Source organism: Homo sapiens, chromosome 4 (assembly GCF_000001405.40).
Source record: "Homo sapiens chromosome 4, GRCh38.p14 Primary Assembly".
Taxonomy (NCBI): Eukaryota; Metazoa; Chordata; class Mammalia; order Primates; family Hominidae; genus Homo; species Homo sapiens.
Genome location: NC_000004.12, coordinates 73347918 through 73374620, shown reverse-complemented (window position 1 = coordinate 73374620; position 26703 = coordinate 73347918). Strand labels below are relative to the sequence as shown.

General features: G+C 39.8%; 1 long non-coding RNA gene across 1 annotated transcript in view, besides 1 other annotated feature; it reads right to left on the bottom strand.

Annotated features, from left to right (window-relative positions):
- Window positions 4506-5213: an enhancer, noted in NCBI's record as "OCT4-NANOG hESC enhancer chr4:74235125-74235832 (GRCh37/hg19 assembly coordinates)". NCBI's record gives its function as "activates a minimal SCP1, AML or CMV promoter by ChIP-STARR-seq in naive H9 embryonic stem cells {active_cell/tissue: H9 hESC(naive)}" and the evidence as "EXISTENCE:reporter gene assay evidence [ECO:0000049][PMID:30033119]".
- The window catches only part of ANKRD17-DT (ANKRD17 divergent transcript), a 99858-nt gene continuing 88752 nt past the window's right edge, over window positions 15598-26703 (bottom strand). Inside the window, exons 4-5 of the long non-coding RNA NR_187399.1 lie at window positions 24725-24849; window positions 15598-17009 (exon numbers count right to left, since the gene is read on the bottom strand). This is a non-coding gene — a long non-coding RNA (ANKRD17 divergent transcript). The remainder of the gene's footprint in view (window positions 17010-24724; window positions 24850-26703) is intronic.

Below are 26703 nucleotides of genomic sequence, written 5' to 3'. Positions count from 1 at the left end.
TGACTGGTTCCCAATTTAAAAAAAAGTCTCTGGAAGTATACACAAGAAAATATACTGACAGGGAAGAAAATTTCTGGTCTCCTACTTCTGAAAAAAGCTGCTGCTGGCCATGGTCCATACATCAACCAATCTTGAATCACACTGGTTACAATGACTGAATAGAATAAGAAACTTCAGCAGCATCCTTCACGAATTACTTCTATCTTTGCACTTTTAAAATTCAACATTAAATCTCAATCATTGCACATGATATTTTTCATTCTATAAGCACTGAAGAGTGATAGAAATGATGTTAAAGAAGTTGAGGAAAAACAAAAGAAAATTTACTGCTTGCACAAGCAACAATTTTTATTCTAGTTGGAAACTAGTCAATGAACTACACTGATGTACATTTTATTGAACAGTGGCTCTGAGATCATGTGATTCTCTGAGACTAACACTATATCTTATTCATCCCTGTAGCACCCAGTACCTAGAACAGTGTTTTCCAAGTTATGTTCTATGGAACCTTGGGGTGCTTCAGATATCTGCAAATATTTGATTTTCTCTACATCTTTAAAAGTATACATAGTTTAAACTCTATGTATGCATACATATAAATACACACATATATACTACGTACGTATATATGTTCTATAACAATTCTATGTATTATAATACACATATAATAAACATGTGTATGTATACATACCCAAGTTGGAGACTTCAGAGATAATGAAAACATTAACTTCTATGGCCAGGGAAGTTCATTTTTTAATAAATCGAGGAAAAATATCTATACATACATTTGAATTTCTTGAAAATGTCGGTGCTTAGGAAGGTTGAATGTTATAAAATGTGTTTTCTAAAATTTTGAACTGAGCATATCCAACTATGTACAATTATATTTAAAATATTTGTTCTAGGTACATAGGGGTTCGTTACCTTAATCTCTCCAAACAGGTACACTTTTCCTAATAAAAAAATTAAAAAAATTAAATAAAAGGTTTGTTCTATTCTTCTGCTGTCCCAGGTGGGTAGACAATTTCAAACTGATTCCATCTAGTTATTTCTTCGTGAGTCAGGGGAAAAAATGTGGCTTCAAGTCACCATCACCCTTTGCAGTGGCTAAATTCTTTACCCTTTTGAGATTGTGTGCATTACAAGAGTCCTGGGCCACTTGAAGCCAAAGGTTCTTTTATGAAGAACTTGGCAGAGCCTCAAGGTACAGAGGATGTCACTCCAAACTGAACAAATGATGGAGAACAGACTGAGGTCTGGTGACTGGCTCTAACTGTGGGACAGCAATAAAAAAAATGTGGAACTCACTCAGGTTTCATGCAGCTTCTCAGTGCTGCATCAGGGGATGGAAGTCATTGCTTTGGTTGGTTGTGAGGTAAGGGCAGATGGTGACTTATGTCATTCCTACTCTTCCCTCTTCCCCAGACATGAGTAGTTCACCTCTTAAGAGGTGGGAAAATTTGCTCCTCAATTATGGATCCAAATCATATTTCCACAGCACCCTCTCACCCTCACCCTTTCCAGTAGTAGTATACTGGCTGGAAAAAAAAAATATCTTCAAGTTACAAGTTTAAGAATTTTGGGAGTCCTAGTTGAGGGACTTGGGGAAAGGGAAGATATAAATTGGTACTCAGAAATGCATGTGCCATACTCTAGTAAATGTCAATCAAGTTTTAAGCATATCTGCCTAGGACATGCTTTTATCAAATTATAATAATCATATGTGCAAAGACAAGTGAACTTCCAACAAGTAGCACGTGAAACCATCATAGTTTTATCACTTACTATATATTTGAGTCGTTCCTTGGCCGACTTACATTTATGATAAATAATATAAATGATCTGGGTGTAGTGGCTCACACCTGTAATCCCGGCACTTTGGGAGGCTGAGGTGGCAGGATCATTTGAGCCCAGGAGTTTGAGACCAGCCTGGGCAACATGGGGAGACCTCAACTCTACAAAAAATTTAAAAATTATCTGGGCATCGTGGTGCACATCTGTAGTCCCAGCTACCTGGGAGGTTGAGATGGGAGGATGACTTGACCCTGGGAGGCTGAGGCTGCAGTAAGCGGTTATCGTGCCACTGCACTCCAGCCTGGGTGGTAGAGCAAGACCCTGTCTCAGAAATAATAACAACAATATAAATGGTTGTTAGATGTTGTTGGTGATGAAGTTATGAAATAAAATTATCCTACTATTCCTACTAATCATGTTATTCTCAGATTGCAAGTCAGGCTGCTTTTCTTTTGTTTTAACTATTGTCATTTTTAGTAGAACCATTCCAACTATTTTACTTGTTATCTTTCAACCAAAGCCCTTCCAGACATAAATTCAGAAGGAGTCTGAAAAAAGCACTGCAACTGTCATTCATGAATTTCAATCAAATGGCTTTATTGGTCTTAATGATTAACTTCATATTATTAAATATTTTAATTTTAATCTATAAAATAAATGTATACCAATAGAAAACTGCTTTTATCTGTGTCTATATTGGGGTCTAAATATGTACAATATGGTACATTTACATATTGATGTTAGAATATTTTTAAAATAACAGCTTAGATCAATAACCAAAGAACAGGTTCAAAATAAGTTTAAAATTTCCTTTTCTAAGTAATGACCACTTTAGCTTTAACAAAATTCACAGAACCATGTAGGTTCTCAAACAAAACAGAGTTTGAGAAATCTATGGTGTGCAGAATAGTCCTGAAAACATCAAGCCACTTCTACCTTGCTATAAGGAGGTAAACTAAAGAAGTAAGAGAGTCCTTGTAAAAAAAAAAAAAAAAATCTGAACTCAAAAACTTGGTTTTAATAATCATGTATGGACAGAAAGGCCTTTCTTTTTTTTTTTTTTTTTTTTTTTGAGACAGAGTCTTGCTCTGTCACCCGGGCTGGAGTGCAGTGGCATGATCTTGGCTCACTGCAAGCTCTGCCTCCTGGATTCACGCCATTCTCCTGCCTCAGCCTCCCGAGTAGCTGGGACCACAGGCGCCCACCACCACGCCTGGCTAATTTTTTCTATTTTTAGTAGAGATGGGTTTTCACCATGTTCGCCAGGATGGTCTCGATCTCCGGACCTCGTGATCCACCCGCCTCGGCCTCCCAAAGTGCTGGGATTACAGGTGTGAGGCACCGCGCCCGGCCAGAAAGGACTTTCTTAAAATGTAAGAGCTAACTGTGATAATCAAGTCACAGTAACAGTCCTATTTATTTTTAGTAATCTTTAATGTTATTCCAAACTTCATAAACATATTTTACCATTTTAAAGTATATGTTACTTATCTATAAATGAGCAAGTATTCACATGTAGTCCTAATAAGCTGAGCACTATAAATACAAATTCTCAATACTACATAAATGAAATAAGTTTCTCAAGTTTTTTCACAACTTTAATCTATTTATTTATTCATTCAGTCAACAGATAATACCAGTTGAGTATCCATTAGCTGAAATATTAATACTTGGGACCAGAAGTATTTAAACTTCAGATTTTTTCAGATTTTGGAATATGCATGTGTATAATGAGAAATCTTGAGAATAGGACCCAAGTCTAAACATGAAACTCATTTATGTTTCATATACACCTTATACACATAGCCTGAAGGTAATTTTATGCAATTTTAAAAAACAATTTTGTGATTAAACAAAGTTTTGACTGTGACAAATCACATGAGGTCAGGCATGGAATTTTCCACTTGTAGCATCACGTCAGTTGCGCTCAAAACTTTTGGATTTTGGGGCACTTCCGATTTTGGCTTTTCTGATTAGAGATGCACAACCTGTATTGACAGCCTATTAAGAAAAGACACAAGCTCCTACCTTCATGGAATTTACATTCTAGCATGGTAGACAGAAAACATTAATGTAAATAGTTATTGTACAATATTTTAGAAGGTGAATAGTACTATGGAAAAAAGTTAGAGCTGGTTAAAGGAGATGGGGAGTGCAGGCAACAGAGACATTGCAATTTTAAATAAGACAGTAGATTTCAATGAGAATGCAGTATTTGAGCAAAGACTTGAAAGAGACAAGGTAGATGCCACATACATAGTAGGGAAAGAGTGTTCAAGGCAAAGGGAATGAGTGCAAAGGCTCTGCGATGGGAGCATGCCAAATGCGTTGGAATAACATTGAGGAAGTCAGTATGTCTGAAATAGGGTGACCAAGGGGGAGTGTAGTAGGAAACAAAGTCATAGGTAAGGAGACCAGATCATATCGTGTCCTATGCATGACTGACAGAATCTCGATTTTTTTCCATGGGTGAAACAGAAAGCCAAGGTAGGGGCATGAGTAGAAAATGTAGCAAACTCAATACTACTCCATAATAAATACTATTATGTAATAGTGCTGAGACCAGCTCGGTCATGGAGACCCTACCTCAGTGACGCTAGAGGAATTAAAGACACACACACAAAAATATAGCATGTGGAGTGGGAAATCAGGGGTCTCACAGCCTTCAGAGCTGAGAGCCTCGAATAGAGACTTACCCACATATTTACTGACAGCAATCCAGTGATAAGCATTGTCTCTATAGATTGTAGATTAACTAAAAGTATTTCTTATGGGAAACAAAGGGATGGGCTGAAATAAAGGGATGGGCTCTGGCTAGTTACCTGCAGCAGGAATATGTCCTTAAGGCACAGATCACTCATGCTATTGTTTGTGGTTCAGGAATGCCTTTAAGCAGTTTTCCACCCTGGGTGGGCCAGGTGTTCTTTGCCCTCGTTCCGGTAAACCCACAACCTTTAGCGTGGGTGTCATGGCCATCACGAACATGTCACAGTGCTGCAGAGATTTTCTTTATGGACAGTTTTGGGACCTGTTTATGGCCAGATTTGAGGGCCTGTTCCCAACATGTCCGCCTTCTTTGTTTTGCAAAGCGATAAAAGCAAAGGCAGCTTTGTCATGGTGAGCTGCTTCTCCCAGGAGTCGGGATCCACATCTGCAGACTATACAAAGACAACATGGATTAAAGGCACAATCATCATTTAAATCACAGAGCTTCCAAGTGTTTTATCCATTTTAATGGGTTACTAGCTGCTAATCTGTCTGCAGCTCCTTCAAGCACTCCAGTTCCTAGCATTAAGGTCAGGTGTGTCTGGGATGCTTTAAATATTTGTTCTTTTCATTTTGCAATATCCAAAGACAAGTTTGTAGAGTGTCCTTCTAGAGCCTTTTTTATTCATTCCCAAATTTTGATCTTATTAAGACCTATTAATAGTTTCCACAAATCCTTATGTTTAGCTCCTACAGTGGGCCATATCATTTGAGGTTGAGGTGCCACTATACTGCCATGGTTCCAAATAGGAACTCTTGCCGTATTTCTTATCATTTCTACCATCTGACCATTTTGTTCAAACCAGCTGAACATAGTGTGGCCATGGCACGCAGATTGAGAGGTGCAATTCAAGCCAAACATCCTCTCAGGGGACCAATCAATAATGATTCCATAAGAATCATTATGCAGCACCTCTGACTGTTCTGCAATGCAATCTTCCTAAACAAGGACGTTCATTTTTTTTGGCCAGGTTCAATTTTGTTTACAAACACGTTTTTGAGGGTGGTATGCCTTAATTATAGGAGCAGATTTATTATGGTAAATACTGAGATCAGAAAGCATGTGTAACTTTGTCATAGAGTGATTACATCCAGGTATTATTGCCAGCCAAGATTGACAAATATGCCCAATAAGTGTAATTGTTTTCTGTGTCAGCCCTTGTTGAAGGAATACTCAAGGAAACGGTGATCACCGCTATCATAACTACCATTAAATTACTCATTGTGACTGGTTGTCCCACTTTCCTCAGGCTTTCTTCTGCCATCTGCGACAGCTTCTTGATCCGTCCCCAGGTGGGTGGCTGTGTTCGACGGGTGTTGCTCATGACAGTTGGGGTCCTCCTCAGCATCAGTCTTGACATGGCTGCAACTGGGGAGTCCTCAGGATCCTCCCAGAATCTCTCACTCGGCATCTGGCTTGTGATAAGGTTTCAGGTGTCTTGATGGTATCCAAATCAGCTGTTGATTCGGTCCTGGAGAAACATAAGCATAACCTCTACCCCAAGTTATTTTTACCTATTTCCCAATTTTTGTTATCGGAGCTCTCCACCAAACTAGTTGTTCTGCTTCTGTCTTTGCAGCTGGTTTCTGTAGACACTGCTCAACTGCTCATAACATCTGGACTTTAGGCAGGCTCAAACAATTTAAAGTTAATAATGCTAGATTCAATTGCATATGGGGTGTCCTATAGTCCCTATTTCTCCCCCTTTTTTGTTTTTGTAACTGCTGTTTCAGGGAGCAATTTGTTCTTTCCACTATGGCTTGTCCTTGAGACTGATATGGGATACCAGTAATGTGTTTAATATTCCACATACAGAAAAATGTAGCTAGAGCTTGGCTAGGATAGCCTGAGGCATTATCTGTTTTATAGAAGCTGGAATGCCAATCACCACAAAACACTGCTAAAGGTGATGTTTAACACAGGCAGAAGACTCTCCTGATTGGCATGTAGCCCAGACGAAGTGAGAAAAGGTGTCCACACACACATGTACATAAGCTAGTCTCCCAGATGAGGGAACATGTGTAACATCCATTTGCCAAAGAGAATTAGGTTCCAATCCTCGAGGATTAACTCCTCCTGTAAAATATGAGGAATGCACCATTTGGCAAGTTGGGCATTGCTGGATAATAGCTTTAGCTTCTTTCCAGGTAATGCTGTATCTGCATTTGAGACCAGAGGCATTAACATGGGTTAAATTGTGAAAGTGTCTAGCATTAGGTATTGCATTAGCAAATAGGCAATCAGCCATTTGATTCCCTTCAGTTAAAGGCCCTGGAAGAGGTGTATAAGCCCTAATGTGAGTGACATAAAAAGAGTGCATTCTACTCCTGACTGCTGTTTGCAATTGGGTAAGTAAAATCATCAGTTGTTCATCTGTATGAAATCATAACTGAGCATTTTCAATCAATTGCATGGAATAAACCACATGTGAAGAATCAGGAATCACATTAATAGGCATATTAAAAGCAGTCAATACCTCAATTACAGCTATAAGCTCTGCTTTTTGAGCTGAAGTATAGGGCATCTGAAAAACTTTACCTTTCGAGCCAGAATAAGAAACTTTACCATTACTAGACCCATCTGTGAAAACACTTTCAGTACCTTCAATTGGTTTCAATTTAGTTATTTTAGGGAGAATTTAATTAGTTACTTTCAAAAATTGAAACAGTCTTGTTTTAGGAAAATGGTTATCCAGAATACCCACAAAGTCAGCTAAATGGGTTTGCCAAGTAAGACTATTTATAAAAGCTTGCTCTATTTGTGCCTTTGTGAGAGGGACAATAATTTTTCCAGGATCATATCCACGTAATTTAACAATCTGAGTTCTCTCATTACCTATCACACTAGCAATTTGATCCAAATAAGGAGTCCATGAATTAGTATGTGGAAGAAAAAGCCACTCTACAAGATCTTGCTCTTGAACGATACCACCAGTAGGTGAATGCTGAGTTGGAAAAGTTAGCAAATCTAGAGTCTTCTCTGGATCTATTCTATTTATTTAAGCTTTATGGACTTGCTTTTCAATCAGCTGTAACTCTGCCTCAGCTTTTTTGTTAATTGATGAGGGCTAGTGAGACTAGGATCTCCTCTAAGGATAGAAAACAGATTACTCATAGCGTAGGTAGGAATGCCTAGAGCAGGTCGTATCCAATTAATGTCCCCTAGTAATTTTTAAAAGTCATTTAATGTTTTCAATTGATCCCTATGTATGGTTACTTTCTGTGGCACATGGTAATGTCATTTACTAAGGTCCCCAAGTAGGAGTAAGGAGTAGTAGTCTGAATTTTGTCCAGAGCTATAATTAAACCAGCATGAGAAATCAAATTTTGCAAGTGATCATAACATTGGAGTAATATTTCTCGAGTGGGGACAGCACAAAGTATATCATCCATATAATGAGTAATGTAACACTGTGAAAATTTTTTACAAGTAGGTTCAATTGCTTGCCCTACATAAGTCTGGTAAATCGTTGGACTGCTTAACATGCCTCATGGCAACACTTTCCAATGAAAACGCTTAGCAGGCTGCAGGTTGTTTACTGCAGGAATTGTAAGTGCAAACCATTCACAGTCTTGCTCAGCTAAGGGGATAGTAAAGAAACAGTCTTTTAAATCTATGACTATTAAGGGCCAATTTTTTGGAATCATAGCAGGAGAAGGCAATCCTGGCTGTAATGCTCCCACAGGTTGTATAACTGAATTAATGGCTCTAAGATCTGTCAACATTCTCCATTTACTGTATTTTTTCTTAAATACAAAAACTGGAGAATTCCAAGGGGAAAATGTTGGAGCTATGTGTCCGCTTTCTTTTTTTTTCTTTTTTTTTTATTATACTTTAAGTTCTAGGGTACATGTGCACAATGTGAAGGCTTGTTACATATGTATACATGTGCCATGTTGGTGTGCTGTACCCGTTAACTCGTCATTTACATTAGGTACACCTCCTAGTGCTTTCCCTCCCCCAAGCCCACAACATGCCCCGGTGTGTGATGTTCCCCTTCCTGTCTCCAAGTGTTCTCATTGTTCAATTCCCACCTATGCGTGAGAACATGCGGTGTTTGGTTTTTTGTTCTTGAGATAGTTTGCTGAGAATGATGGTTTCCAGCTTCATACATGTCCTGACAAAGGACATGAACTCATCCTTTTTATGGCTGCATAGTATTCCATGGTGTATATGTGCCACATTTTCTTAATCCAGTCTATCACTGATGGACATTTGGGTTGGTTCCAAGTCTTTGCTATTGTGAATAGTGCCGCAATAAACATACATGTGCATGTGCCTTTATAGCAGCATGATTTATAATCCTTTGGGTATATACCCAGTAATGGGATGGCTGGGTCAAATGATATTTCTAGTTCTAGATCCTTGAGGAATCACCACACTGTCTTCCACAATGGTTGAACTAGTTTACTGTCCCACCAACAGTGTAAAAGTGTTCCTGTTTCTCCACATCCTCTCCAGTACCTCTTCTTTCCTGACTTTTTAATGATCGCCATTCTAACTGGTGTGAGATGGTATCTCATTGTGGTTTTGATTTGCATTTCTCTGATGGCCAGTGGTGATGAGCATTTTTTCATGTGTCTGTTGGCTGCATAAATGTCTTCTTTTGAGAAGTGTCTGTTCATAACCTTTGCCCACTTTTTGATGGGGTTGTTTTTTTCTTGTAAGTTTGTTTGAGTTCTTTGTGGATTCTGGATATTAGCCTTTTGTCAAATGAGTAGATTGCAAAAATTTTCTCCCATTATGTAGGTTGCCTGTTCACTCTGATGGTAGTTTCTTTTGCTGTGCAGAAGCTCTTTAGTTTAATTAGATCCCATTTGTCAATTTTAGCTTTTGTTGCCATTGCTTTTGGTGTTTTAGATATGAAGTCCTTGCCCATGCCTATGTCCTGAATGGTATTGCCTAGGTTTTCTTCTAGGGTTTTTATGGTTTTAGGTCTAACATTTAAGTCTTTAATCCATCTTGAATTAATTTTTGTATAAGGTGTAAGAAAGGGATCCAGTTTCAGCTTTCTACATATGGCTAGCCAGTTTTCCCAGCACCATTTATTAAATAGGGAATCCTTCCCCATTTCTTGTTTTTGTCAGGTTTGTCAAAGATCAGATGGCTGTAGACATGTGGTACTATTTCTGAGGGCTCTGTTCTGTTCCATTGATTTATATCTCTGTTTTGGTACCGGTACCATGCTGTTTGGGTTACTGTAGCCTTGTAGCATAGTTTGAAGTCAGGTAGCATGATGTCTCCAGCTTTGTTCTTTTGGCTTAGGATTGTCTTGGCAATGCGGGCTCTGTTTTGGTTCCATATGAACTTTAAAGTAGTTTTTTCCAATTCTGTAAATAAAGTCATTGGTAGCTTGATGGGGATGGCACTGAATCTATAAATTACCTTGGGCAGTATGGCCATTTTCATGATATTGATTCTTCCTATCCACGAGCATGGAATGTTCTTCCATTTGTTTGTATCCTCTTTTATTTCGTTGAGCAGTGGTTTGTAGTTCTCCTTGAAGAGGTCCTTCACATCCCTTGTAAGTTGGATTCCTAGGTATTTTATTCTCTTTGAAGCAATTGTGAATGGGAGTTCACTCATGATTTGGCTCTCAGTTTGTCTGTTATTGGTGTATAAGAATGCTTGTGATTTTTGCACATTGATTTTGTATCCTGAGACTTTGCAGAAGTTGCTTATCAGCTTAAGGAGATTTTGGGCTGAGACAATGGGGTTTTCTAAATATACAATCATGTCATCTGCAAACAGGGACAATTTGATTTCCTCTTTTCCTAATTGAATACCCTTTATTTCTTTCTCCTGCCTGATTGCCCCGGCCAGAACTTCCAACACTATGTTGAATAGGAGTGGTGAGAGAGGGCATCCCATTTCAAAGGGAATGCTTCCAGTTTTTGCCCATTCAGTATGATATTGTTTCTGAGTTTGTCATAAATAGCTCTTACTATTTCGAGATACGTCCCATCAATACCTAATTTATTGAGAGTTTTTAGCATGAAGGGCTGCTGAATTTTGTTGAAGACCTTTTCTGCATCTACTGAGATAATCATGTGGTTTTTCTCTTTGGTTCTGTTTATATGCTGGATTACATTTATTGATTTGTGTATGTTGAACCAACTTTGCATCCCAGGGATGAAGCCGACTTGATCATATGGATAAGCTTTTTGATGAGCTGCTGGATTTGGTTTGCCAGTATCTTATTGAGGATTTTTGTATCAATGTTCATCAGGGATATTGGTCTAAAATTCCCTTTTTTTGTTGTGTCTCGGCCAGGCTTTGGTATCAGGATGATACTGGCCTCATAAAATGAGTTAGGGAGGATTCCCTCTTTTTCTATTGATTGGAATAGTTTCAGAAGGAATGATACCTGCTCCTCCTTGTACCTCTGGTAGAATTTGGCTATGAATCCTTCTGGTCCTGGACTTTTTTTGGTTGGTAGGCTATTAATTATTGCCTCAATTTCAGAACATGTTATTGGTCTATTCAGGGATGCAACTTCTTCCTGGTTTGGTCTTGGGAGGGTGTATGTGTCCAGGAATTTATCCATTTCTTCTAGATTTTCTAGTTTATTTGCGTAGAGGTGTTTATAGTATTCTCTGACGGTAGTTTGTATTTCTGTGGGATTGGTGGTGATATCCCCATTATCATTTTTTATTGCATCTATTTGATTCTTCTCTCTTTTCTTCTTTATTAGTCTTGCTAGTGATCTATCAATTTTGTTGATCTTTTCAAAAAACCAGCTCCTGGATTCAATGATTTTTTGAAGGGTTTTTTGTGTCTCTATCGCCTTCAGTTCCTCTGTGATCTCAGTTATTTCTTGCCTTCTGCTAGCTTTTGAATGAGTTTGCTCTTGCTTTTGTAGTTCTTTTAATTGTGATGTTAGGGTGTCAATTTTACATCTTTCCTGCTTTCTCTTGTGTGCATTTAGTGCTATAAATTTCCCCTACACACTGCTTTAAATGTGTCCCAGAGATTCTGGTATGTTGTGTCTTTGTTCTCATTGGTTTCAAAGAACATCTTTACTTCTGCCTTCATTTTGTTATGTACCCAGTAGTCACTCAGGAGCAGGTTGTTCAGTTTCCATGTAGTTGAGCAGTTTTGAGTGAGTTTCTTAATCCTGAGTTCTAGTTTGATTGCACTGTGGTCTGAGAGACAGGTTGTTATAATTTCTGTTCTTTCACATTTGCTGAGGAGTGCTTTACTTCCAACTATGTGGTCAATTTTGGAACAAGTGCAATGTGGTGCTCAGAAGAAGGTATATTCTGTTGATTTGGGGTGGAGAGTTCTATAGATGTCTATTAGGTACACTTGGTGAAGTGCTGAGTTCAATTCCTGGATATCCTTGTTAACTTTCTGTCTCATTGATCTGTCTAATGTTTACAGTGGGGTTTTAAAGTCTCCCGTTATTACTGTGTGGGAGTCTAAGTCTCTTTGTAGATCTCTAAGGACTTGCTTTATGAATCTGGGTGCTCCTGTATTGGGTGCATATATATTTAAGATAGTTAGCTCTTCTCGTTGAATTGATCCCTTTACCATTATGTAATGGCCTTCTTTGTCTCTTTTGATCTTCGTTGGTTTAAACTCTGTTTTATCAGAGACTAGGATTGCAACCCCTGCTTTTTTTTTGTTTTCCATTTCCTTGGTAGATCTTCCTCCGTCCCTTTATTTTGATTCTACGTATGTCTCTGCATGTGAGATGGGTTTCCTGAATACAACACACTGATGGGTCTTGACTGTTTATTCAATTTGACAGTCTGTGTCTTTTAATTGGAGAATTTAGCCCATTTACATTTAAGGTTAATATTGTTATGTGTGAATCTGATCCTGTCATTATGATGTTAGCTGGTTATTTTGCTCATTAGTTGATACTGTTTCTTCCTAGCATCAATGTTCTTTACAATTTGTCATATTTTTGCAGTGGCTGGTACCAGTTGTTCCTTTCCATGTTTAGTGCTTCCTTCAGGAGTTCTTGTAGTGCAGGCCTGGTGGTGACAAAATCTCTCAGCATTTGCTTGTCTCTAAAGGATGTTATTTCTCCTTCACTTATGAAGCTTAGTTTGGCTGGATATGAAATTCTGGGTTGAAAATTCTTTTCTTTAAGAATGTTGAATGTTGGCCCCCACTCTCTTCTGGCTTGCAGAGTTTCTGCCAAGAGATCTGCTGTTAGTCTGATGGGCTTCCCTTTGTGTGTAACCTGATCTTTCTCTCTGGCTGCCCTTAAAATTTTTTCTTTCATTTCAACTTTGGTGAATCTGACAATTATGTGTCTTGGAGTTGCTCTTCTCGAGGAGTATCTTTGTGGTGTTCTCTGTATTTCCTGAATCTGAATGTTGGCCTGCCTTGCTAGATTGGGGAAGTTCTCCTGGATGATATCCTGCAGAGTGTTTTCCAACTTGGTTCTATTCTCCCTGCCACTTTCGGGTACACCAATCAGACGTAGATTTGGTCTTTTCACATAGTGCCATATTTCTTGGAGACTTTGTTCATTTGTTTTTACTCTTTTTTCTCTAAACTTCTCTTCTTGCTTCATTTCATTCATTTGATCTTCAATCACTGATACCCTTCTTCCAGTTGGTTGAATCGGCTACTGAAGCTTGTGCATTCATCTCGTAGTTCTCGTGCAATGGTTTTCAGCTCCATCAGGTTATTCTAGTTAGCCATTTGTCTAATCTTTTTTCAAGGTTTTCAGCTTCTTTGCATTGAGTTTGAACTTCCTCCTTTAGCTCAGAGAAGTTTGATCGTCTGAAGCCTTCTTCTCTCAACTCATCAAAGTCATTCTCCATCCAGCTTTGTTCCATTGCTGGTGAGGAGCTGTGTTCCTTTGGAGGGGGAGAGGTGCTCTGATTTTTAGAATTTTCAGCTTTTCTTCTCTTTTTTTTTCCCCATCTTTGTGGTTTTATCTACTTTTGGTCTTTGGTGATGGTGACGTACAGATGGGGGTTTGGGGTGGATGTCCTTTCTGTTTGTTAGTTTTCCTTCTAACAGTCAGGACCCTCAGCTGCAGGTCTGTTGGAGTTTGCGGGAGGTCCACTCCAGACCCTGTTTGCCTGGGTATCAGCAGTGGAGGCTGCAGAACAGCGAATATTGCTGAACAGCAAATGTTGCTGCCTGATTTTTCCTCTGGAAGCTTTGTCTCAGAGGGGTACCCAGACATGTGAGGTGCCAGTCTGCCCCTACTGGAGGGTGCCTCCCAGTTAGGCTACTCAGGGATCAGGGACCCACTTGAGGAGGCACTCTATCTGTTCTCAGATCTCAAACTCCGTGCTGGGAGAACCACTACTCTCTTCAAAGCTGTCAGACAGGGACATTTAAGTCTGCAGAAGTTTCTGCTGCCTTTTGTTTGGCTATGCCCTGCCCCCAGAGGTGGAGTCTACAGAGGCAGGCAGGCCTCCTTGAGCTACGATGGTATCCACCCAGTTCGAGCTCCCTGACTGCTTTGTTTACCTACTCAAGCCTCAGCAATGGTGGGTGCCCCTCCCCAAGACTTGCTGCCACCTTGCAGTTTGATCTCAGACTGCTGTGCTTGCAATGAGCAAGGCTCCGTGGGCATGGGACCCTCCGAGCCAGGTGCGGGATATAATCTCCTGGTGTGCCATTTGCTAAGACTGTTGGAAAAGCGCAGTATTAGGGTGGGAGTGACCCGACTTTCCAGGTGCCATCTGTCACCCCTTTCCTTGGCTAGGAAAGGGAATTCCCTGACCCCTTGCACTTCCTGGGTGAGGCGATGCCTCGCCCTGCTTTGGCTCACACTCGGTGGGCTGTACCCACTGTCCTGCCCCCACTGTCGGACGAGCCCCAGTGAGATGAACCTGGTAGCTCAGTTGGAAATGCAGAAATCACACGTCTTCTGTGTCACTCACACTGGGAGCTGTAGCCTGTAGCTGTTCCTATTCGGCCATCTTGGAACTGCCTATGTGTCTGGTTTTTAATTGTTCAGTAAGTAATTCCTCTAAAGCCTCCAGTTTCTCTTTACTTAGCAGCCATTGTTCTATCCAAATTGGCTTATCTGTTAACCATTCTAAAGGTGTAAGTTCTGGAGGCTTAACAATGGCCACCATCAAAAATGGTATCCTAAACCTTGGCGAGAACTCCGTCTTTCCTCTTGAAGTGGTTCCTTCAAACTCTGTAAATTTTTCCTAGTCCCATACCAGGGACATATCCCATTTCATGCATCATATGTTGACTTTGAGGGCTATATAATTGTTCTGGAATTAGAACTTGTGCTCCCCATTGTAATAAATCTCTTCCCCTTATATCTATAGGTACAGAAGTTACAATTGGTTGAATAGTCCCAGGTTGTCCATTGGGCCCTTAACAATGCAAAATATAACTACTTTGATATACTTCAGGGGCTTTACAAGTCCAATTATGTTAAATTGAGCAGGTTGAATTGGCCACGCGGACAGCCAGTGCTGTAGAGAAATGATTGAAATGTCTACTCCTATATCTACCAAACCTTTAAATTTCTTTCCCTGAATAGTTATTTCACAGGTAGGACATTTATCAGTAATTTGATTCACCCAATAAGCTGCTTTGCCTTGTTTATTTGTGCTTCCAAATCCTCCTGTTCATTTAATTTCACTTTTCCCCATTTCCACATATGGCATAATCAGGGGCTGTGCTATACGCTCTCCTGGTTCTGCTTTCCAGGGAACAGAAGTGGATATAACAATTTGAATTTCCCCATTGTAATCTGAATCAATGACTCCTGTTTGTACTTGTATCCCTTTTAAATTTAAACTAGACCTTCCTAGAAGGAATCCTATCGTCCCCGCTGGCAAGGGTCCACAGACTCCTGTTGGGACCTTTTGCGGGGGTTCCCCAGGCAGAAGGCTCACAGCTTTTGTGCAGCATAAATCTACTGTGGCACTACTGGCTGTGATGGGGACAGATATTGTACAGGGATGAGGGAATGGCCTGAGCTGGAAATGCCCCGTTTGGAATGGGGCCCAGGATGGGCCCCTCATGTCGTTTCCCGAAATCAGGTTCCCATCTTTATCAAACTTAGAGTGACAATGACTAGCCCAATGTTTTCCTTTTTTACATTTTGGACATATTTCAGGCTCAGCAGTTTTCTTTTTTCCCTTATCTGGTGGCCTGACTCGCTGATTGTTTCTACATTCTTTTTTAGTATAACCATGCTTCCCACAGTTAAAACAAGCTCCAGGAAATGGAGTATTCCTTTACCCACTCTCACTCCTGCCATTACCTGGGCTAGCAGAGTAGCCTTATGCAGATTATCTCCAATACCATCACAGGCCTTGATATAATCAACTAAATGTGCTTTCCCTCTGATAGGTCGCAGAGCAGCCTGGCAATCGGGATTAGCATTGTCGAAAGCTAATAACCACAACACTATATCCTGAGCAGCTGAATCTGCAATCACCTTTTTAAGAGACTCCTGTAACCAAGCTATAAAATCCGTGTATGGTTCTCTTGGTCCCTGTTTTACAATGCTAAAGGAAGGGTATTGTTCTTCACCCGAAGTGACTTTTTTCCCAAGCTCTAATGCACACTCCTCTAAGCTGTTCTATGGCATAGTCCTGCATGACCACTTGTGCATCTAAACCAGCCCAGCTGCCGACCCCTAAAAGTTGGTCTGCAGTCATATTAATTTGAGGTTGGGCCTGGGCATTGTGAGGAGCCTGAATGGAAGCTTCATCTGCCCACCAAGTTTTAAATTGTAAGAAGTGAGCAGGATTTAGACAAGCTCAAGTAAGAGCATCCCAGTTGGTAGGAATCATCGACTGGAAAGAGCAACATTCTTTACAGTCCCATTACAGAAGGAGAACCTGGTCCATATTGACTAATAGCTTGTCTAAATTCTTTGAGTAATTTAAAAGGAAAAGACTCAAATGTAGCTATAACATTTCCCTGTTGATCTGTGGGGTGTATTCTAGCAGGGAACTGCCAAGCCTCTAAATCACCCTCTCTTCTAGCTTGCTGAATTCCTGCCTGAACAGAGCTGAGAGTGGTCGCTCGAGGTGCTGCTCGAACAGTCACTAGGGCAACAACTTTCACCCAGTGTCCTCCGGAAAAGAAAGATCTGGAGGGTCAGGACACTCTTTTTCTTCAAAATAATGAGGGGGTGCAGAAGAGTAGGGATGAACCTCTTCCTCCTTTGCCACTTTAGCTTTAGTTGGCAAACAAACCTGCTCTGTTACTTCTTCTGTTACTTCCTTATACTTTCCTTCTTCTTCATCATCAGTGTGAAAAGGTTCCAAGGTGGAACGAACCAGAGCCCACACTAGTCCCATTGTTACCCTGATGCTTCCGAGCTCCCCTCTTACTCACCACAGGGATTGCTTAAGAGTACTCGGGTGTACTCCAGCTTAGTTCCACATTCTCCAACCATCACTCTGGTGACCCTTCGACCTGGGTTCGAGCCTCCATGTTGGGCACCTCTTGCTGGGACCAGCTCAGTCGTGGAGACCCTAACACAGCAGCGCTAGAGGAATTGAAGACACACACAGAAATATAGAGGCGTGGAGTGGGAAATCAGGGGTCCTCACAGCCTTCAGAGCTGAGAGCCTCGAACAGAGATTTACCCACATATTTACTGACAGCAAATCAGTGATAAGCATTGTTTCTATAGATTGTAGATTAACTGAAAGTATTTCTTACAGGAAACAAAGGGATGGGCCAAAATTAAGGGATGGGTCTGGCTAGTTATCTGCAGTGGGAACATGTCCTTAAGGTGCAGATTGCTCATGCTATTGTTTGTGGTTCAGGAACACCTTTAAGCAGTTTTCCACCCTGGGTGGGCCAGATGTTCCTTGCCCTCATTCCAGTAAACCCACAACCTTCAGTGTGGGCATCATGGCCATTATGAACATGTCACAGTGCTGCAGAGATTTTCTTTATGGCCAGTTTTGGGGCCAGTTTATGGCCAGATTTGGGGGCCTGTTCCCAGCGTAATAGCAAATTCAAGGTTCAGTGTGGGGTCAGGCACGGTGGCTCATGCCTATAATGCCAGCAGTTTAGGAGGCCAAGGCAGGTGGATCACTTGAAGTCAGGAGTTTGAGACCAGCCTGACTAACATAGCAAAACCCAGTCTCTACTAAAAATACAAAAATTAGCTGGGCGTGGCAGCGCACACCTGTAATCCCAGCTACTCGGGAGGCTGAGGCAGGAAAATCACTTGAACCTGAGAGGTGGAGGTTGCAGTGAGCCAAGAGTGCACTACTCCACTGCAGCCTGGTGATGGAGTGAGACTCTGTCTCAAAAAAAAAAAAAAAAAAAAAAAAAAAAAGTTCATTGTGAATGAGATGTATCATAAAATGGTTCCTCTAAAATCTTACCTTCTACAGAGCTTATATTCTAAGACACTCAAATAAAAACCATTTATTGAATATGGTTTTTGAATAGCACCTATGGCCAAGTGCTATTAATTAATTCAACAATTTATTAAGTGTATATTGTGTGCCAGTTGCTACTCAGTGTGCAGAGATAGGTACTCCAGACACAAAGATTAAAGAATATCAAAACACAGGAGGGGAAAGGGCACTCTAGGAAGGCATCTAGATTTAAATTTTATATTACTATTTACTAGCTGTCTGATATTGGATACATTTCCTAACCATTTTCAGCTCCAGTTGTCTTATCTGTAAAAGGGGATAATAAACATACTTCTTATACTATAGGGCTTTCTGAAGATTGTTCTGGTCATTATATGGAGAGTGGATAGTAAGGAGGCAACACAGGCAGGAAGAAGGGAGAGTTAGGGAGCTATTGCAATGGTACTGGGAGAGTCCAGGGTCATGACAGGAGTGGTGGGAAATCAGCAATCAGGATATATTTGGGAATTAGAACCAGTATGATCTAATGGGTGGTGGTTAATTTGATGTGGCATATGAGGGAGAGTGGAATCAAGGATAACTACTAGTGTTTTGGCCAAAGCAACTGCATTAATGATGGAGTCATTTGATTGGACTGGTAAGACTGGAGATTTCTAGGAGAAAATTGGGTTCTATTTTGTATATGTTATATCTGAGTTACCTATTAGACATCCAAGTAGACTCCAAATAGGCATTTGAACATATAGATTTAAACTCAAGGGAGAATCTGGAGCTAAAGGCCTAAATACAAGAAACGGCAATGTATTGATCGGTATTATACCATGAGATAAAATTAATTGATTAGATGGAGAAAGTAGAGAGAACAAAGATGACTAAGGACCCAGCTCTGGATAACACCAATAATCCAAGCTCTGGTATAAGGGAGGAGTCAGCAAGGGAAACAGAAGAGTAGTGAAGTCAGAGGAAAACTAGGAGCATGCGGTGTCCTATTTAAAAAATTGAGGATAAACGAATAATTTATAATCTCAAATTCTCCTGAAAGTTTGAGGAAAATAAGTCCTCAGATTTAACCATTGGTTTTGATTAGATGGGGGTCACTGTTGGCTTTGACAATAGTAGTTTCAGTGGAGTAATACATGTATCAGCCTGACTGAAGTATTGAGGAGAGAATGGGAAAGAAGAGGAAGTGGAGGTGAGTAGAGACAGCTCTTTTTTGTGGTGGTTCACACTTGCAGTCCCAGCTATTAGGGAAGCTAAGGCAGGAGAATTGCTTGAGGCCAAGAATCTGAGACCAGCCTGGGTAACACAGCAAGACCCCCTGCTCTACATGAATGAATAAATAAATAAATAAATAAATAAATAAATAAGGCAGCTCTTTTTATAAATTTTGCTATAAAGGGAAACAGAGAAAGAGGTCTTGGGCCAAGTGAGTACTTTCAAAGATGGTGGTGATATCTATATTCTGATGGAAATAATCCAAAAAGCAAAGCAAAAATTGACGATGCAGGAGGAAGGAGCTCAATGAAGGAGAAAAATCTTAAATAGGCTAGAGGATATGGGATCCCACACACAAACTGAAGAATAGAGTTTAAACAGAAACCAGGACGTTCAATCATTTAAGGAGAGAAAGCAGATTGCAGAAATAAGGGCAGGGAGCTGGTAATTTGCGGGTTGGAAAGATGGGGAAGTCCTCTTCTGTTTGTTTCTATATCCTGAGTAAAGTAAGAATCACAGCTTAGAGTGATGGGAAAGGGAGAGATATCCTGATTTCTAGATACTTTTTCTCCCTGGGGGTCTGGGTCACTTCATGATCGTGTGACCTGTGCAACAGCAGAGGGCTCTGCACCCTGAACGGGCCCATGCTTGGTTTAGAGCTCTGCTGTTTCCAGCTTCAAGTTCTTAATCACTTTTGAACAAGGAGCCTCCATATTTTGATTTTGTGCTGGGATGAACAAATTATGTAGCTACTCCTGCTGGAAGCTTTTGAATCTTTGTCATCAGCATACTAGAATTTCATCAAGTACCTTGCTATGGGTCTTTTTCAATCATTGCACTGAATCCAAAATTGGTCTTTTTCAAAGAGTAATTAATGTCCTTCCACACTAAGAAACTTTCTTGAACTCCTTCATTGATAATTTCCTCCTTTTCTTTTTATCTTTCTGCAAATCCTATATTCTGGATATTACAGCTCTTGTACAAATTCTCTAGTTTTCTTAAAATTTTCCTCCCATTACCCTCCTATTTTCTATGTCTTTGTATTTTTGTTCTACTTCCTGGGCAATTTCCTTATCTTCCAACTCAAATTCTGTCAAATTTTTTCTTCTGTCATATTTTTGTTTTACTTTTTATTTCTTAGGTAACCATTCATGTTTCTAAAGCGTCCTGTTTTTGATTCATAGATTCTGTGATATTTAAGATTAACTGTAAATTTTTGTTTTTGTTTTGTTTTCTTTTGCTACTAGCCTTTTCTGTTTCTTTTGAATTTTGTTTCTATGTTGTTTTGTTCTCCATCTCCAGCGTAAAAGACTCCTCTCTAATGTCTAGTGATCCTTGATTTTGCATACATACTTAAAAAGAAGACAGTAAATGTTATTTGAAAACTTTGTAAGCTGTGTGAAACTTATTGACTGTGGGCTTTGCTGCAGGATGAGTAGAATTCAGATATTTTATTGTTTTTACAGAGTTTCACTGGTTTCCTCAAAAAGTAAGTTTCCCTAATTGGCTGCTTAGATATATATAAGTCTGGTAGCCAATGTTCTGGAGATCAGCGGAGAAAAGGGAACTGACATCTCACTATTTAAAATACTGACTTTATTTATCTTCCCTATTTTCAATATGACGACTCGTTTTTCTTCCTCCTGAGTCCAGAGATGTTTCTGGTTCAACAACTTTATTGAATAAATCTTGTTTCCTGCTGTAGTAAGGGAAGGGTTGTCACCTAGAGGCACAGAATTGAAGGAAGATCTGAAGAGCTAACTGCTCTTTTATTATCACTTAATCCTTCAGTTATCCCTATCATCTTTCATATTCACCTATAAAGTTACCAGTTTCTCCCAGTCCTGATGATATACTAAATTTCATGGCATATATCAGTTGAATTCTTATCGGAGTCTATATTAGTTTGCTAGGGCTGCCATAATAAGGTACCAAAAACTGGATGGCTTAAAACAACTGAAATTTATTCTCACAGCTCTGGAGGCCAGAAGTCCAAAATCAACATGTCAGCAGGACCATGCTCTCTTTGAAGGTTCTAGTGCAGGATCTGTTCCAGGCCTCTCTCCTGGCTTCTGGTAGCCTCAGACATTTCCTGGCTTGTAGATGCTTCATTCCAGTCCTCCATTTTCACATGGTGTTCTCGCTGTGCTTCTTCACATCATCTTCTCTTGGTGCTTGTCTGTCTCTGTACCCAAATTTCTTCCTTTATGAAGACATCAGTTATATTGGATTAAGGCCCACCTAATGACTTCATGTTAACATGACTAAATCTGCAAAGACTCTTGTTCTAAATAAGGTCATGTTCTGAGGTAGCAGAGGTTAGGACCACAACACATCATCTTTTAGGGGACACAATTCAACCTATAACAGCCTCTCTCTCCCCCACTTCTCTTAGGTTTCAACTTTCTCTAGTCTGTTAAATCTGTTAGGTCTTTTCTATATTTCTAGATTTCAAAATGTTGTTGAATACTTCTTCCGCGTTGTGACTTCCTTTCTAGTTCTCTTTGTCTTTATATGTTTATTGCACAAAAGATAAATATGTATGCTCAATATGCTACACTTAATTTCCAGAATATTTTAAAACTTAAATCATATTACATTAATGCCCACCTCAACCATCCAATGTTTTCACATGACACTGAGAATAAAATCCTAAATCTCTATCATCGCCCACAAGGATCAGCCCCAGCCTAACTCTCTGAAGGCATCTCCTAACTCTCTGCCTTCACATGCCCCACTCCAGCCACATGGCCTTCTTGCTATTCTTTAAAATTGCCAAGTATGTTCCCACCTCAAGCCCTTTGGATTTGTTAGTTTCTCCTCCTTCAAATATTCCTGAGGCTTACTCCCTCACAAGATTCAGGTTTCTATTCAAAAGGCTCTCATGGAGAAATAAACTTGCTTGACCATTGTCTTGGTTTGGTTTCTTCCAAAACCAACTCTAAAACCAGAATTGGGTAGAAAGAGTCTATTTGGAAGGCAATCCCTGAAAGCAGAGTAAGGAAATAAGAAGATGAGGCAAGGAAGAGAAGAAAGCCAATTAAGAGTGTGCTGATAGGTGGGTCACTACTGTGGGCACCTGAGACTTCACACCACTGGAGACACTTAAGAACTATCACCAGCTCCATCTCTCACTAGTTGAAGAGATTGCTTCTGGGGACATTAGTTCCCAGTCTGCCCATGTGTTGTCAGAGCTGGTACTTGAGGCAGAGAACATAATAGGCTCCCAATGAACATTTGTTAAATGAATAAATGGAATGTGTAGAACTTTCTGGAGATACCAGGTAGAATACGTATAAAAAAGAAATCCAGAAAAAGATGTTAAAGCTTATTATTGATTTTTAAAAACTATCTACTTAGTAATTGAAATTAATGGTAAAAAAAAAAAAAAAACAGACAAACAAAAACAAGCTGGGCACGGTGGCTCATATCTGTAATCCAACAAGTTTAGGAGGTTGAGGCAGGAAGATTGCTTGAGGCCAGGAGTTCAAAACCAGTCCTGGCAACATAGCCAGACCCTATATCTACAAAAAAATTAGAAAGTTAGTCGGGCATGGCAGCATGCACCTGTAGCCCCAGCTACTCAGGAGACTCAGGCAGGAGGATTGCCTGAGCCCAGGAGTTGAGGCTGCAGTGAGCTATGATCACACCACTGCACTCCAGCCTGGGCAACAGAGTGAGACCATTTTTTTAAAGGGAAAAAAAAGAGAAAATAAGATAGAAGATAGTACTATAGAATGCTTCTGTTCGTTTTCGGTTTTTAAAAATATATTTATGTATAATATTATTTATGGTACGAATCCTCTGTCACAAAAAGGCTTCAAAATACAGTAGCTTAAATAAGATTCAAATGTATTTTCCTGTAATGTTACATCCAGATACAAGCAGTCTGAGACTGATAGGGCAGCTATCCTTGACATGATAATACCTATCTCTAGATTCAAAATAGCTGTTCCGCTCTCTCCACCCGCTAGCTAGTGAAAAGAGGGGAAAATTCTAGGGGAAAAAAAAATAGGCCCGTTCCTTGTTGTGTTTTTTTGAGACAGAGTCTGGTTCTGTCACCCAGGCTGGAGTGCAGTGGCGCAATCTCGGCTCACTGCAACCTCCACTTCCCAGGTTCAAAGTATTCTCCTGCCTCAGCCTCCTGAGTGGCTGGGACTACAGGCACGCACCACCACGCCCAGCTAATTTTTGTATTTTTTGTAGAGATGGGGTTTCACCACGTTGGCCAGGATGATCTTGATCTTGACCTCATGATCCGCCCTCCTTGGCCTCCCGAAGTGCTGAGATTACAGGTGTGAGCCACCGCGCCCAGCCAGGGCCTTTCCTTTTAAAGAAATAACCCAGAAGAGGCACGCATTATTTTTACTCATCCCATTGAGTAGAACAGTCTCATAGCCAAACCTAGATCCAAGGGAGCCTAGAAATGCAATCATTCACTAGATGTGCCTAGATAAAACTAGGGAGTCGATGCTTAAAGGAAGAATGGAGAATGGTGATTGGTGGGTAAGTAACAGTCTCTCTCACACATAAATATACTTGAACATAAACAATTTTGGAAGAATAAGAATTTCTGGGAAGTTAGAATGAACTCCCAGAGGTCTGGATTAGAGAATGGCTTACCTATTTGGTAAATCATTTTGTATTATTTGGAATAATTGCCGAGTATGTATATGCTACAGTTCGATGTTTTCTCCCCCAAAACTTTTGTTGAAATGTGGTCTCCTGTGTTGGAGGTGAGGCCTGATGAGAGATGTTTTGGGTCAGGAGGGTAGATCACTTATGAATGCCTTGATGCCATTCTTGAAGTAATGAGTAAGTTCTTCCTCTGTTAGTTCCCAAGAGTCGGTTGTTTAAAACAGCTTGGCACCTCCCCACCCCTTGCTTTCTCTCTCACCATGTGATCTCTCCCCTTCACCTTCTGCCATGAATGGTAGCAGCCTGAGGTTTTCACCAGATGCCCAATCTTACAGCCAGCAGAGTCGTGAACCAAATAAACCTTTTTGCTTTATAAATCACCCAGCCTCAGGTTTTCTTTTACAGCAACACAAATGCATTAAGACAGAATATTACTTTGGTGGCATTAAAAATTTATTCTCGCCACTGTCAGATGCATGATAAAAGTTTAGCTTTTTGTTTACCATAACTGGTCACACATTCTCTCCCCACTGAGTAGCAGGAAAAGGGATAAAATTTTAATTTTTGAATTATGGTATCTTTCTCTCTCAGACTCTCAAAAGAGTGCGAAAATTCAGTCTTTTTTGTTTTATTTTGTTTAAATGTCTACTTTCAAGTCACTCCCACCTTTAGAAACTTTTGCTGAGTGGCATGAAGCTACATGGATGGCGAGGGCTCATGTGCTCTCATGGCACTGTGGAAAGTGGCAGGTATACACTAGTGCTTGTCTTCAGATGTGTACTGCTCCTGAAGCGTGGTTGGTAAGGACCCATGTCAGACAATTTACTGTCTGTCACAGATTTTGGAGAAGAATGTTCAGGAGTGTGAAAGACACCCTGTCTCTGCACATTCACATTGTTCCACCTATTTATTCTGTCGGGGCTGCCCCATACAGCTCTCCCTGCAAAGTGGTTAACACTCAGCACACCAAAGGAATGGGGCAAACACCCCTCTGCCCTCAACATCCACTCACCAGAATAAATGTTCCCATGTCCTCAACTGATTTAGCACTTCTTTCCCCCAGGATTTCAGCATGAAGAGAAGCAGTCAAGACATGTGTATCTCATTGCTTTCTTACTCTCTCCCCTTATCATTCTCCTGGGGACAGAACAGACAGATTCAGGCTTTCTTCTTTCTTCCAATCCCTCTTTTCCCCTAGAATAGCAAACTTCATGGCCTAGCCATCATCCTTAGAGGCAGTACCATTTCAAAGCTGGGAAAAAATGCAACAACCTAAGTTCCCAGACCTGGTTCTTGGTATGTTAATGGGAGCTACACAATTGGAAATTCTTTTTCTTTCTCCACTAAGACTAGATTTCAAGATTATTATAAGAAATCCTTTTTGGTAGTTGGGAGTGGCACCACTGTATTTTTTTTTTTTTTTTACTTTTTATTTAAAATTTGCAAAACTACACAATAGTAAAGAAAAATTTTTAAATATGCATCATACAGATGCATATAATTGTTTCATCTATAACTCACCTTTTTCTGCTGGACTTTTTTTAAAAATAATTTCCACTTTTATTTTAGATTCGGGGGCACATGTGCAGTTTTGTTACATGAGTATATTGCATAACGCTGAGGTTTAGAGTATGATTAATCCCATGACCCAGCTTGTGAGCATGGTACCCATAGGTAGTTTTTCAGACCCTTGCTCTTTTCTCTTATTCCCCCCTCTAGTAGTCTCCAGTGTCTATTGTTGCCATCTTTATGTCCATGAGTACCCAGTGTTTAGCTCCTACTTATAAGTGAGAGTATATACTATTCAGTTTCCTGCTCCTACAATAATTCACTTAGGATAGTGGCCTCCAGCTGTATCCATGTTTCTGCAAAGGACATAATTTTGTCCTTTTCCATGTCTGCACAGTATTCTATGGTGTATATGTATGTACATTTTCTTTATCCAGTCCACCATTGATGGACACCTAGGTTGACTCTATCTCTTTGCTATTGTAAATAGTGCTGTGATGAACATATGAATACATGTGTCTTTTTGGTAGAATAATTTGCTTTTCTTTGAGAATATACCCAGTCATGAGATTGCTGGGTCAAATGGTAGTTCAATTTCTAGTCCTATCAGAAATCTCCAAATTGTTTTCCACAGTGGCTGAACTGATTGACATTCCCACCAACAGTGTATAAACATTCCCTTTTCTCTGCAGTCTCACCAGCATCTGTTATTTTTTGACTTCTTAGTAATAGCTATTTTGACTGGTGTGAGATGGTATTTCATTGTGGTTTTTTGATTTGCATGTCTCTGGTGATTAGTGATGTTGAGCATTTTTTCATACATTTGTTGGACACTTCCATGTCTTCTTTTGAGAAGTGTCTGTTCATGTCTTCTTTTGCTTGTTGAATTAAGTTCCTTCTAGATTCTGGATATTAGACCCTTTGTTGGATGCATAGTTTGTGAATATTTTGTCCTATTCTGTAGGTCCCAGCTACTTGGGAGTTTGAGGCAAGAGGATTGCTTAAGCCCAGAAGTTGGAGCTTCAGTGAACTATGAACAGCCACTGCATTCCAGCCTAGGTGACAGAGTGAGACCCTGTCTTTAAAATATATACATAGATAAAATTTAAAGATTCATGGTTTTCATAGTTAAATGCTTTGCATTAAAAAAATGCTTTTTTCATTTGGAAAAGTAAATATTATCTTATAATTATTTTCTTTCTTTAGTTCAACAACTGAAAAGTCTTTCACAGTTAAAACTGTCCTTATTTAGTGACAGATTTATAATTGACTCACATTTTTATTATTTTTAAAAGTATTTCAAAATTTAACTTTTTCTTTTGAATTTTCTAGTTGAAAATATAGTGCTTACGTTATCATAGTAAAGAATCAGAATATATTCACTGTATATATAATTATATTTTTAAAAAATAGATATAATGGGGTGTGGGTATAAACTAGAAGAAAAAACATTGTAATGTGATAACATCTGTAAAACTGAAC